The sequence below is a fragment of the Homo sapiens genome, chromosome 6 (assembly GCF_000001405.40).
Source record: "Homo sapiens chromosome 6, GRCh38.p14 Primary Assembly".
In the NCBI taxonomy this organism is placed as follows: Eukaryota; Metazoa; Chordata; class Mammalia; order Primates; family Hominidae; genus Homo; species Homo sapiens.
Window position 1 is genome coordinate 106,302,600 of NC_000006.12, and position 15,181 is coordinate 106,317,780.

A 15,181-nucleotide genomic window follows, 5' to 3' on the forward strand; every position below is an offset into this window, starting at 1 on the left:
AGCCAGAATCACAATCTAGAGGCTAGATGATGAGGGAATCAAGAGTGGAGACGAACATCAACAAATTTAAAAGATCCAAAATTACAGTGAGCTCTTTTTTTACTACAATAGAATCAAACTAGAAATCAATAATGAAAAGATAACAGAAAAACCACTAAATGTGGAAATTAAACACATTTCTAAAAAAAACTAAGATTCCAAAAGAAAGCCTCAAAAGAAAATTTTAAAAATACACAGACCCGAATGAAAACAAAAACAGAACATATCAAAATTTATGGTCTATACTAAAGCCTGGCTGAAATAGATATTTGTAACACTAAATGCTTGTACAACATTGTGAATGTAATTAACACTACCATGGTTAAGATGGTAAATTTTGTTACATGCATTTTACTACAATTTAAAAAAGAAATTAAGGTAAGAGCTCAAAAAAATAACCTAAGTCCCTTTTCAAGAAACTAGAAAAAAATAATAAAACCAAAGGAGCAGAAGGAATAAGATTATTAAAAACAAAAAACAGAAACCAACAAAATTGGAAATTTTAAAAAGGAGAGAAAAATCCATGAACCACAACACTGGCTCTTCAAAAAAATAAGTAAAATTGGTAAACCTCTAACAAAGCTGACAAAAATGAAGACAACACTACAGATCCTAAAGTCATTCACAGACAAGGAAATACTATAAACAACTCTATGTTCATAAATTAACAACTTAGAAAAAACAAACCAACTCCCCAAAACCCATAAACTACCAACACTCAATGAAGAGGAAATAGGCAAGCTGAGTAGATCTATATATATCAAAGAAATTGAATTGGTAATTAACATGCTCCCCAAAAAGAAATCTCCAGACCCAAGTGGTTTCACTAAAGATATCTATCAAACACTTAAAGAATTGACAGCATTTTTACACGACCTTTTCCAGAAAATACATCAGAACAGAACACTTTCGAACTCAGTTTATAAAGCCCGTATAACCCTAATGCTAAATCAGACAATAGAAAAAACAGAAAACTACAATCCCTCTTATGAACATAAGACACAAAAATCCTCAACGAAATATTATTTGGCAAACTGAATCCAACAATGTATAAAACTTATTACATTCCGTGACCAAATAAGATTTATTAAATGTATACAAGGTTGGTCCAACATCAAAAATCCATAAATGTCATCTATTATAGCAACCAGCTAAGGAAGAAAAGTGATACAATCATATAATTAGCACAGAAAAGGCATCTGACAAAATCCAACATCTATTCATGACAATTGTGAAAGACTAATACATTCCCCATAAAATTAAGAACACCAGAAGATGTCCACTCTCACCACTCTTATCCAACACAGTACTAGAAGTTCTAGCTACTCCAATAAGGAAAAAAAAAAAAAGAAGAAAAGAAATAAAAGGCCTACAGATTGGAAAAATTATATAATTTCTATTTGCAGATGTCAAGACTGTTTACATAGAAAACCCCAAAGGATCTACCAAAAAAACACCTAGAACTAGTGTGTGAGTTCAGCAAGGTTGCAGAACACAAAAATCAATAACATTTTCCATATACTAAAAATGAACATTCACGCTCGTTTTGGCAGCACATGTACTAAAATTAGAACGATACAGAGATTAGCATGGCCCTGCACAACGATGACACCCAAATTTGTGAAGCGCTCCACAGTAAAATTTTTTTAAATTATAAAAATAAAAAATAAAGGAACATTCAGAAAACAAAATTAATTTTTATCTTTTACAATATATGTGGCTTGACACAGAAAGACCTCTAGGTGTTTTCAGCAGCTTTTCTCAATATAGTCCCAGAATGGAAACAATCCAATGTCCATCAGTTAATGAATAAACAATTTGTGGTATAACCATACAGTGGGATACTCAGCAACTCAGCAACAAAAAGGAAAAAACCACTGATACACGCAAAAAGGATGAGTCTCAAAAACATTACTCGAGGTAAAATTCAGACACGAAAGGCTACATACTACATGAGCCCATTTATATGGCATTCTGAAAAAGGTAAAACAACTGAGATGGAAATCAGATCAGTAATTACTGTGAGTTGGGGGAAGGAAGAGGTAACTGTAAAGGAGTACCAGGGAATTTTGTGAAATTAAATATCTTATTATCTTGATTTTGTAAGTAGCTACACAACTGTACACAATTGTTTGAAAACTCTTCAAACCATACTCCAAAAAAGATGAATTGGCCAGGCACGGTGGCTCACACCTGTAATCCCAGCACTTTGGGAGGCCCAGGCAGGTGGAGCACCTAAGCTCAGGAGTTCAAGACCAGCCTGGCCAATATGGTGAAACCCTGTCTCTACTACAAATACAAAAATTAGCTGGCGTGGTGGCGGAAGCCTGCAATTCCAGCTACTCAGGAGGCTGAGGCAGGAGAATCACTTGAACCCGGGAGGTGGAGGTTGCAGTGAGCCGAAATCATGCCATTGCACTCCAGCCTGGGCGACAAGAGCAAAACTCCGTCTCAAAAAAAAAAAAAAAAGATGAATTTTATTCCACATTAATTATATGCTTGGGATTATTTTTCCCTTCTCACACAGAGTCTGCTAGCCAAGTAGATGAACAAAGAATAGTAAGAAAGAATTAACAGTAAAGGAAAAATAATTTGTTTTAAGAATACTCCATTCTGCTATTATCTATAACTAACTTTACTATATGTACTATTTCTTTAAAAAATCTTTAAAACCAAGCATTTGTTTAAAAAACAAAGCCCCCGGTACTCTTCATCTATGTCCTACCAACAGGAAAATAAAGTCATATTTTTCCCAACTGAGTATGATGAAAGTCATGATTTGTCAAGGACTTTAGTTTTTTTTTCTTGTCATTGAGAACTGTCACCTTATGAAAAGACAAACTTAATTGAATTCAGGGACAGAATCAGTGACAAGGTTATAAAGAGAGAAGAAACATCAATTTCTGTTCTTTCTTCCCTCACTTATGAGTTGTCTCAACTGGCGACTAATTTCCTTTCCTACCTGAACTTATTTAAAACTCCGAAGAATAAATATAGGAAGGACGTTATTATTCAACTCAAATAAATGCTTCTCTATCCTTAAGACACTTGTATGGTCTCAAAAGTCCAAGTCTTCCAACACTTCAGTGGTAGCTGCTTTCCTCCACTGATGGAAATTCACAGAACTATCCTATTTTGCGAAGCCCACTACTTAAATGCCAGATATTCTTATATTGATAGCCTATTTCCAGGAAGATACATTTTTTAACATGAGAGAAAACTGCTATTACTGGAAGCAAAGAGAGAAAAGATCAAGACTAAGCCCAGAGGCCCTGGATTACATTTATGGCTCTGGAAGTTATTCACGCCTCATATATATGGAGTACTTAAAAACACTAAAGGAAAAGATGCATCAAAAGTCATATAGCTACAATGAGCTTACAGCATGACATAACTGTGGAAGTGATATAACACATAAAAAGTTAACACCCCCAAAACTACCATAAAGATACTTGAATATAATTACTTTCACATAAGCTCTCTAAAAGGGAAAAGAACTCCACTCTTTAATAAAAGACTTTCCAAAGGGATAAATACTGACAAAGTAAGAACATGGTATAATAATATTTAAGCCAAAATCATTGTTTTGCAGTGACAAGGAGAAATGGGTCCAAACACTATTTACCCATAAACCTATAAAATATAAGCCATATTGAATACAAGAATAACCACCATGAGGGACAGCATAAAACAGCAGCTGAAAGATGATGACTTAGCAATCACTTACTTTACAAGCTAAATTGAGGTTTCCCAAATTTTCCAGAGTTCCTCAACTGGGGGCGGTTCTGCCTCCATTCAGGGACATCTGGCAACATTTTTGATAATCAAGACTGGAGGAAGTGCTACTGGCACTTGTAGGAAGAGGCCAGAGCTGCTGTTAAACATCCTATAATGTACAGGGTAGCCCACCACAACAAAGAATTATCAAATTCAAAATGTCAGTAGTGACCCTATTGAGAAATCCTGCTTTACAATAAAACTGAAAAGCCCCGCTAGTCACACAAAATTCTGAGATAATCTGTAATACATATAATGCAATACAATGTAAATAACTATAGCTAGAAATGTCAAGTGCATACATACATCCCATTGCTACTCTCCCACACTGTTTCCCCGTCCATCCTGTCATTCTACTCTTCTATTTAATAATTGTTGCTCTGTTTACACTTCCTTTAAGTCGCCTTCCCATTCCAAAATCTCCAATTCTCCTGAGAAATAAAAAGAAATGGGAAGCATTGCCTTATCTATGCTGCGTGAGGTCTAGAACTACACAAGAAGAATCAGAGGAGTCTGATACATGATCATGAAGCTCAGTATTGTTTTGATTTAAAGAAAGAATGCTATAACAAGACAACTGTGTCATAAATTCCCAGAACCATCTCAAAGGATTAGAGACGGGACCCAAAATACAACCTTGTTATGTTTGTAATCCATTATGAAAAATCTACTCATTCTTGGGATCTCATCAGCACAAGGTGAGTTCCAAAATTTCTCTCCTTGCTAATAAATAGTCCTTTGATTCACATCAGCTGCATTTATTAAACACCTAAGTAGCTTCCTTTCATCTGTCCTAAAGCTCTTTCAAAAACTCTTCATTTTAATATTCCCCGATTCAGAGAGCAAGTCCATTTTTAACCAATTTGTATTTTTCATGTTTCATTTAAATCTGTCTTAGCCTGTATTTTTTTCATTCAACTGTATCCAAATGATAGCATTTCAACATTAACATCCAGCATACCTTCAACTATTTTTTTTTTACATTCTTCTCTCTGTAATTTCCAGTTTCATTAAATATTTTTGGAAGCACAATGAACAAAACTCCCAATAACAGAGGAAGCACCAAAAAACATCATTAGTACATGGATAAGCACAGGTTTAGGATTTGATTTCAATACCCTTTTTTTTTTTTTTTTTTTTTGAGACAGAGTTTCACTCTTATTGCCCAGGCTGGAGTGGAATGTTGTGATAGCTCACCGCAACCTCCACCTCCCAGGTTCAAGCATTTCTCCTGCCTCAGCCTCCCAAATAGCCCGGATTACAGGCATGTGCCACCACGCCCAACTAATTTTGTATTTTTAGTAGAGATGGGGTTTCTCCATGTTGGTCAGGCTGGTCTCGAACTCCTGGCCCCAGGTGATCCGCCAGCCTCGGCCTCCCAAAGTGCTGGGATTCGTGTAGTATCTGTTCTTATCAGTTCAATACCCTTCTTAAAAATGCAAAACATCAAATTTATTTTTCACGTAAAAAGGAAATCAATATATTTTAAATACTCTAAACCAAGCCTAGTTAAGATGTGTTTCTGGCACAGTGGTCAACTAAATATGGCAATCAGTTTGAACAATGCCACTTAAGGTAATCATGTATATAAAGATGTTATAAATATTTTGGTGTCAGAAATAAAATTGAATAATGTCAAGAGATGACTTTTCATAAGGGAGTTTTAAATATATCTGAAAATAGCCCATAACCAAATATATTCTTATTGTACCATATAAAAATCTATTGCTAAAAATATATGAATCTGTCCAGTCATCCATGCATCCAAACAGAAGGCAGAAATATTTTCAATAACGTATTCTAGTAATAGTCTAAACTTCACATATTGTATGAGCTAGACTAATGACTTCTATCCTCGCAGGACTTTTTTTACAATTGTTTCAGGGCACTATACCTTTTTAAAGCTAGTATATACTTAATGCTTAATAATGCAGAAAAATTCACTCACCATTTCAGTGGTGTGCCTTCATATTCAAACCATATCTCACTAATGTCTTCTTGTCTCATAACCTTCTGAAAGTGCTTTTTCACTTTGTCAGTTACCAACGTCAAATAACTTACTCTTGGCAAAAGCAACTGAAATGAAAATTTGTAAAACCGTATTTATTTACTAGTTATTATTTTTAAAAAATACTAAGTAGGTTTTTGAATTTTAAGGAAAAACAGCCGTGTTCTTTGCATTATTTTGAATATCCCACACAAAGTCTACTGCTTTTTATAGAAGATCAAAGGTTAAAGGTTAAGATGTTTTAATATTTCTTATGGGGCCATTACTTTAAGCACAGCTTACCACATAAATGCCCAGAATGATCAACACAAATCTATCTACAATCTTCCTATAACACTAAATAAAAATGTAATTAGATGTCATACTATTTAGGATACTTATTGGTTCTATAAAATTTAACTTAAAAATTAAAATGATTCATCTGAGTCAATTAAACTGTTCTAAGAAGATAATCAACTCAAGTTCTAAAGTATACTTTGACTTATCAATCAAATCTTCTCAACCAGTCCATCATGTTTTGAAGGCTGAGAGAGAATGCTGAGCTAGGTAAAGCCTCAAAAAAAAACAGTATGAAGAACCTGGTCAGTGTTTTTTCCCCAGAAAAGGTACCCAAAAATAAAACAGGAGTGTTTTGGAAAATCAATTATGATTTATATAAAGAACCGACAAGTAGATAAAAGAAGGAGCTTGGCAAAAATTTATGGTTTTCCTCCTTTGCAGTAGACACTCTAGCCATTTCTTGCTTTCCTAAGTGTCTGATTTCTTTTGCTGATAAAACTGCTTTGTTATTCTTTTGGCTGCTTTTATAACCGCATCATCTTTCATGCTTTTTATTCAAGGTGATATCTTTTGACTAATAAATCAAGTAGAACTACTAAGCTGACAAATATATACAGAAAGAGATATTCTGGTTGAAGGAATTTATATTTAATCATGGGAGTCCAAGATAATAGGTACCAACCAACTAGGTAGGAGAACGTGACATTGATCCTAGGGGCTACAGAATACAGGGGTATGGGAGGGAGATAGTTGGCATGCTCCAGTATGGAATACAAGGAACTAAATACTATGAACAAGCTGCTGAATAGTATTATGCATTCAACAGAATATAAGTTATTCTTTTATAAAGAAATAACTGTGATTAGTGAAGAAAGAAAAAGGAATTCTTACTATTTAATATAAGAAAAAGCAGTTTTTCCCCCACAGGAAGTATTATCGCCCCTGTTTTAAATAACTTGCCAATATCATGCTATTCTTAAATAAATGGCAGAGAAAAGATTCAGTGTAGTCTTTCAGAAATGACAAATACAGATGTGACATTAAAGTCTCTTTAAAAAAGCAAAACAGCGTCGCAAACTAGCTGTTTTCAAAAATATGTAAGTATAATCTATTAGTCTAATAAGGTCTCTTTTAGCAAACCTTGAACTTTAATTTAAAAATGATTAATGGGCATTACATAGTAATCTATTCTGTAGAAAACAATATTAACTTATGGAGACAGTAGGAGGGAAGAAACACCACAGCTAATGGGTATGGATATATCAGCTCCTGATTTTGGAGAGTGTTGTATTACATGCCTTGGCTTCACTCAAAATTGCTAAAGAACTCACAAATGATTTTTATGAAATAAAATATTTTTTACAATAAGGAAAAAAGAACATTAGACTATAACCTCAATTAAGACAGGAATTTTTGTCTGTTTTGTTCAATGCTACATTTCCACTGCCCAAAATAGTGCCTGCTTTAAAGGAGGCACACAATAAATATTTGCTGAATGAGTCAGAGATGCCAATGGTTAAGTGAGGCAGAGCCAACAACTGTAATTTTAAAAGAATACTCATTTTTAAGGCAGAATCCACACTGAAATGTAGCTGCAATTTTCTGTTCCGTTTGGCCTGTGGGAGTAATCTTTAACTAATATATCCATAGAAACACTAAGAAATCACTCTAAGATTTAAGAATGACTATTCTATAGTACATATAGATACAATTTACCTAGGAAATATTTAAACAAATAAAAATGAAAACAACAATGAAAAGACATCATCTTCTTGTCTTTTACCTGCAGACTATATATACTACTCATTGTTTTTCTTAGGTGTATTTCATTGGTTTAAGTTCTTTTTTTTTCAATGTGGTAAAATATACCTAGTATAAAATTTACCATTTAAACCATTTTTAAGTGTACAGTTTAGTAATACTAAATACATTCACTATCCATCTCCAGAACTTTTTCATCATGCTAAATGGAAACTGTACGTATTAAACAGTAGCTCCCCATTCCCTGCTTCCCCAGCTCCCAGTAACCACCATTTTACTTTCTATCTCTATGAATTTGACTACTCTAGGTACCTTATTTAAGTGGAACCATATAATATTTGTCCTTTAGTGCCTGGTTTATTTCACTTAACATATGTCTTCAATGTTCTTTTAGTTCTTTTACTTTGAATAAGATTAACCACATTTGGAAATACTGTCAGCTACAATGGAAACTATCATTCTCTTATTCCTCATTTAGCCCTAGTATAAAGTATTCCATGACTCTGATACAAGTGATTCATTTTTATCTATACAGCTTAAAAGAATACATATTTTATGCAATTATATGGAATACTTATGTTTCCAAAAAAGTTGCCCATAATTTTAATTCTTTATGCCAAGTCCAATTCTGTCCAACAATTTTCAATTTTAAAATTAGAGACCTTTCTAGGACAAAAATAGAAGTAAAACATACTAGAATTCTGTTCCACTCCAATGTGTAAAGCATCATACTAGGCAATGAGGATACAACATTGAAAGAGACAGAAGAGTCCTTCCCCTTATACAGCATACAGGTTAGACAGCAAAAAAGATACAAAAAAACAAAATTACAAATGTGATTAATGCAGGGAGGAAGTAAAGAATGTTATAAGAGCAAGTAGCAAAGGAATTTAACCTGATCTTGAGTTTCACGGGAGGCCTTGACACGAAGTGTATCTTAAGGCAAAGAGTCAAAAGACAAATAGGAGTGAAATGAACATGGGTGAGTGTGGAAGTCTGGGTGTGTGTAGGTATGGGAGATACCTCTGCCTTTTCCAAACAGGGGACACTGCAAGACAAAAGGCATGGAATGAATACAAAGAAACAAAGATGGGCACATTTGAGTGAAGTCTAAGATGCTGAATATGATAGGAAGGTACAGAGTTAAGACAGAATAGTGCTGAGGAAGCCAGGAGCCAGATTATCGAGAACCTTGTAAACTAAATGAAAGATCCTAAAAATGATGAAAAGCCACAAAGGTTTTAAGCAAGCAAGTGACAAGATCAGACATGTGATTTGAAAAGATCACTCCAACTGCAGACTAGAAAATGGAAAGAAGGGAAAACTAAAAGCAGGAAACTGGTTACTACTGTGCAATTTGATCTCCTTCTTTTTTTTTTTTTTTGAGATGGAGTTTCACTCTTCTCACCCAGGCTGGAGTACAAAGGCAAGATCTCGGCTCACTGCAACGTCTACCTCCCAGGTTCAAGTGATTCTCCTGCCTCAGTCTCCCAGGTAGCTGGGATTACAGGTGTCCACCACCACACCGGGCTAATTTTTTGTATTTTTAGTAGAGATGGGTTTCACCATGTTGGCCAGGCTGGTCTCAAACTCCTGACCTCAGGTGATCCACCCACCTTGGCCTCCCAAAGTGCTGGGATTACAGGCGTGAGCCACTGTGCCTGGCCTGATCAGTTTTTAAGCAGTAGTCTGGTCTAGGCTGTAGCAGTGGGGGATGAAAGGGATCAGATAAGTCTGAGAGACACTGAGGTCTCTGGAGTAAGTTACCGACTATCTGGGATAAGAGAGAAGGAAGGAAGCACCAAACGATGAGTCCCAGGTTTCAAGTAAGAGTAGTTCTTCTTGCCAAAACAGGAAGGGAATAAAATAATGCAGAGGACCAGATTTTTTTGGGGGGAAAGCTGATGAGTCCAGTTTCTAACATACATAGTTTGAGCTCCTATAAGACATCTAAGTGAGGATCTCCAGCAGACAAATATATAGGTTTGGAGCTCTGGAGAAAAATATTGGGAATTGTCAAGATATAAATGCTTGACAAAGACATAAAAATGGACAAGAACTCCAGGGGGTAAAAAGTGAAGTGAAAAAAAAGAAAGCAGAGCCCTAAGAAATACCAATATTAAGGAATAAACAAAGGAGAAAGATCTGGCAAAAAAGACTACACACACACACACACACACACACACACACACACACATAAAAACCAGACAGGCAAAAGCAAAACCAAGGATACTGAGCACTGCAGGGCTAACAGGACAATGCCACAAGATGGGAGAAGCAACCAACAACATCAAACACTGCTGAGATAAAGCAAATGAAAATTAACAAACAGACTCTGAGCTTGGCTAAAAAAATACCATTAGTGACTTTGGCAAGAACAGTTTTCTTGGAATAGTATGAAAATGTGATTACAGAAAACTAACTGGTAGGAGGTGGAAGGCAGAGAATGACTATAAGCAACCTTTTTAAGAAGTCTAGCCATGGAGGAAAAGCCAAAGTTGAGAGATGGGGTCAACAGAAGGTTGTTGTTTCAGGATAGGAAGGATTTATGACAACACTAAAAACTGTGAAGGAGCCAGCAGATAAGAAGTTGAAAGTAAAATAAACAGAGAAGGCAGAGGTGGAGGTGGGAGAAGATCAGATACCACCAGCTTCCTGAGAAGGCAGAAGATAGAGGGCTGGGCCTTGCCTAGAAGGAAGAATACTTCTTCCATTATAACAGGAGGGAAAGAGAAGTAAATGTGTGGGATGCAGATAGGTTTTGCAGATTTGGTGACAGAAAGTTAAGGGAGGTCCTATCACACCTATCATATCATTTCTCTTTTCTTCATGAAAGAGGAAGTGAGGTCACCTGTTCAGAGTGAAGGAAGAGGTCAGGGCTCAGAGACATAGTCATAGTGGAATAGGGCAGACACCTGACTAAGGATACATAAACGGATCGCTGCCTAATGTTAAGGGTCCATGACATTGATGACCATGGGTCCAATCATGATTTCCTCTAGAAACAAGTCACAAAATAGCAATCCAAATGAGTATATGTGTTTTTATACTGGATAATCTAAATGAAAAGCAACAGTTTAAATGAACATAAACGAAAAAATACAAATTGAAAAGTTATCTAGTTTCTACAAATTTCCTTACCAATATTCTCTGAAAAATAAAACATAATGCTCAGTGATAAACATATAGGATATAGGCGGAAAGATTATGCACAGAGGCAACAAATCAAAATGCAGAAAAGAGGAATATATGTACTATTAATATTAAAAATATGTTCAAGCTTAATTGACAGCAAGGGACATATTATCTGAACTACAGCTATATTGGCACTAAAATCCTCATCTGTAATTCTAAGACTAGCCATCACTGATGTTTTATATATTTTCTTCCTTGTACGTATTAACTTACACTTAAGCATGTACATATTTAAATAGCAAAATTTGGATTGTGCCATATGGTTTTAAATTCCAGTTTTTTGTTTTATGTTTATTATATGCCAGTCACCCAACAGTCTTCAAAAACACAAATCATGACTGTATAAGAGGTTTCTCTGGGTGAAGAATTAGGAAGAATTCAAGAAAAAACCAATTACCTATAAGACAAGACAATCCTCTTTCTCCTACAGTTACTGTAAACACTCTTGCCATTTTCAATTTGATTAGAAACACTAGAAAACAACTTACGCTCTAGTGCTCACAAGTCTTTTCCAATTTAAACAGGTCTATAAAGAAAAAATACTGTATTCTTTACATGAAATTTCTCTAACTTTAGGAAGTATGTCAAACATTAGAGTTTGATTTAAAAGTAAACAGGCTGGGTGGAGTAGCTCATGCCTGTAATCCGGGCATTTTGGAAGGCCGAGGCGGGCAGATCACTTAAGGTCAGGAGTTTGAGACCAGCCTGGCCAACATAGCGAAACCCTGTCTCTACTAAAAATCTAAAAATTAACCGAGCATGATGGCACATGCCTATAATCCTAGTTACTTGGGAAGCTGAGGCATGAGAATCATTTGAACCCAGGAGAGGGAGGTTGCAGTGAGCCGAGATGGCACTACTGCCCCCTCCAGCCTGGGCAACAGGGTGAGACTGTCTCAAAATAAATAATAAATAAATAAATAAATAAAAGTAAACAGACTTAAATTATTTTTCAGTTGTTGTCAATTTGGCCAAATATACTCTTATACTCTCACATACTCTTATATACTATTACAAAGCCAATGAAGGTTAAAAGTTGTAATTAAAACAGCAAAAACTTGTTTGGAAAAAAAAAATGGTATCCTAACCTATATTACAGAACAAGAACAGAAAAAATACCTCTAACAAATGAAATTCTTCTAAAAATAAAACTATGACCATACTTGGTTTTTAACTGTGGATGTTTTTCTAGACAGAAAACGGTTGATATTTCCAAAGTTAAGATTACTCACGTGTATATAAGCTTGAGTACCAGTAACAAGATTGCCGAACTTCTCTAAAACTATCATTTCTAGTAAGAAAACCCATAAAGATGATTTCAAACAAAATCCCAACATGAGCCTGGGGAAACATTCATGCACCGAGTAGTACCACTTGAGGAGCCTGTGCCAGATGCTGAGGATGCACAGAGGAAAACAAAAACAAAAAAACAGTCCTATACCCAAAAAGTGAGCGAATGGGCTCCTTAATAAGTAGCTTCCTCCAGTAATCTGACTTTCCGTAGCTGGAGCAGGCTGAGGAGCAGCACTGCCTCTCAGAGAGATGAGGGGGAAAGCAAAGGGCAGACTTCATTAAAGTGAAACAGAAGAAGCATTTCCTCATCACAAATACACTTCTACTTTTCCACATCATCTCCAGGTAAACACTAGAATGCATACCTGAGACACAAAAAGAAAAAACAGTAACGACAATTGAGAATATCTTTGCCTATTATGGGCTATTCAGTGAACAGGCAGGATGTCATCTCTGACAGAGGCATAAACTGGGATTATACATGCACTTAGAAAAGGGAAACAAAGCACACCAAAATCAGAAGACATTTGAAAAGTGTTTGTAAAATACATAATCCATTAACTCACACCTGCAAGTCTATGTGCAATTTATAATATATATTAAATATATATTACATATTAGCTCACATATAACATACAATAGCTCAGTGAACGTATCGTGTGTGTGTATGTGTGCATGTTTATATGTTCTTTAAGCTATAAAAACACTTTTAACAAACAGTTGCTTAGAATCTCCTAACTACAAAAGAATACAATCTGAACCTATTATTTTCAATATCTCTTCCTATTAAAAAAGCACATCTTATTATTCCATTATCATACATTTATTATATATGAATATATGCATAAGAAAAAGAAAGTCAAGAAGGCACCATAGCTGATGATTCCATTAACATACCCACATACATGTAAGGAAAACAAAGTCCAGAACGCATCATGACAACATGCTGACAGTGGTTTTGTCCTCTGAGTGGTAGCATTAGAGGTGATTATTTCCTTCTTTATGCTTATCTGTGTTAATTTTTTTTCCAAAATAAGCATGAATTAGCTGTATCTAAAACGTTACATAATGGCCTCCAAGTTCTTACAGCTTTTTCTTACAAAAATGGACAAGGTTAAATATCCCATTTGCCACAATCAATGTACTTACATAGTATGGTTCTGCTTCCCTTTCAGTTATCTCATCCTGATATAGCGTGAAACAAGTTGGAATTCGTCCAAACCACACATCTCGAAGCACATCTTTGTCATCTGTCATTCTTCCAGGAGTTAAAGCAGTACATACAGGCTAAATTCTTATTTCAACCAAAGCCAAACTGAAAATAAAATGAAGAGCATTAGTCAGATCCTTGCAACGATGAATGAACCTGCTAGAAAACAAAAGATTATTTTAAAAAATCCATGCCATAAAGATTATCCACTTCAAAAAAAAAAAACGATGATCACCAATCTTTAGTATAAATTCAAAGAAAAGAGTACAACAAATTCTAAATGTAAAATTATTACTTATGTAAAGGAATCAGATCAAAATTACATATGCCAGTAATATTCATTGCATATTTAAGTACTGAACCACAGTCAAAATGAAACTGTATCTGCATCAGTCTTTCAAGCCCAGAAGAGTCTACTGCTTACCTAAAGAGGAGCTTCACCTATACCCTGTGAATCCTGACAGTCCAACTCCAAAGGATCATTCTCGCATTTACCCCTGCCCCGTCCAATATATTCACCTTTTCCTACTCCAGATAGTTTCTCCTCTCTTCCTGCAAAACTACTCTCCCATCTTAGAAAATATCTCTTTCACATTGGGGAAAAAATCTTTCTATAAACCCATTCCCCATTCTAAATTTCATCCTCTCTACAATTTAATCCCACCAATACTTCCATTTTAATTACTGTACTTCCTTTTGTAAACCCTCTACCAAAAGTGGCCCCCTGAACACCTTTCTCTGTATCCTACTATTCCCCTACCTAGTATGCTCCTCTCTCACTTATTCAAATCCCTACTCTGCAAACCATGCTCACAGCCCTCTGGCCCCAGTGAAACAGTAAATGCTTCCACTTGGATCTCTCAGAATATTCTCTATACCACAAATATAGCACTAGATCTGCAAAACAATATTCTAGGTATGGCATAAGGACATGGCTTTTGACCTCTGTAATATCCAAGTGCCTTCCAATGCTAATATTCTGCAACTGAATAACACATCACAATACACGATATGAGTAAATGCTGAAATAAATATTGTTGATAATATACACTTAGAGTAACTCAACATGTGGCACCTGGATACTAAGATTCAATATACTTATCCAAATAATATTTCTCATCTTTGATAGGCAGCTAATTCATAATCTATCACAATGTAGCCTATGAAAACACTCTAAATAATCTTACGAGTTTAGCCAAATATAAATTATTAACACTGAATTATTCAAGGAGCTTATTTCCCTTTTTTTTCCTCTTCCACTGACCAATGACATTAAGATGGTATAAATTAATTAGTTAAAGAAAGAAAAAGTTGGAGGTCAACTGGATGCAATGTCATCTACAGGTACGTAAACTGCAAGAGGTGGAAAAAATATGTCCAACATAAAAGTACTAGGCAACAAGAATTCTGGTTATTAAACTGAGTCCAGTGCTCTTTCCAGCATACTACTAGTGTTTTAACTTTTATTAAAATATATCCATAAAAACAACTACTTTAAGCGAATGATATACATGCATGTAAACTTCATATCATTCCACACTGATAGGCTACAAATTCAAACTATTGAGTTTCTGCATTTGGCAAAAAATTTCCAAGTTTACAAATGACACAAAATTAAC

At 35.2% G+C, this 15,181-nt stretch overlaps 1 protein-coding gene and 1 pseudogene across 9 annotated transcripts in view; one reads left to right on the forward strand and one right to left on the reverse strand.

Annotated features, from left to right (window-relative positions):
* Positions 1–15,181, reverse strand: part of ATG5 (autophagy related 5) — a 141,285-nt gene that overhangs the window by 118,124 nt on the left and 7,980 nt on the right. For 5 of the 9 annotated variants that reach the window (NR_104402.1, NM_001286108.2, NM_004849.4 and 2 more), the window contains 2 exons: positions 13,502–13,667; positions 5,765–5,892 (listed from right to left, as the gene is read on the reverse strand). Coding sequence is in view for 7 of the 9 variants with exons in the window: in NM_001286108.2 (NP_001273037.1) it covers positions 5,765–5,892; positions 13,502–13,609 (236 nt within the window). In the remaining 2 variants the exon portion in view is untranslated. Of the gene's footprint in view, positions 1–5,764; positions 5,893–13,501; positions 13,668–15,181 lie in introns of those variants that run through there. The other 4 variants (NR_104403.1, NM_001286111.2, NM_001286107.2 and 1 more) reach the window with 1 other exon arrangement.
* RNU6-344P (RNA, U6 small nuclear 344, pseudogene) lies at positions 1,577–1,687 on the forward strand (annotated as a pseudogene).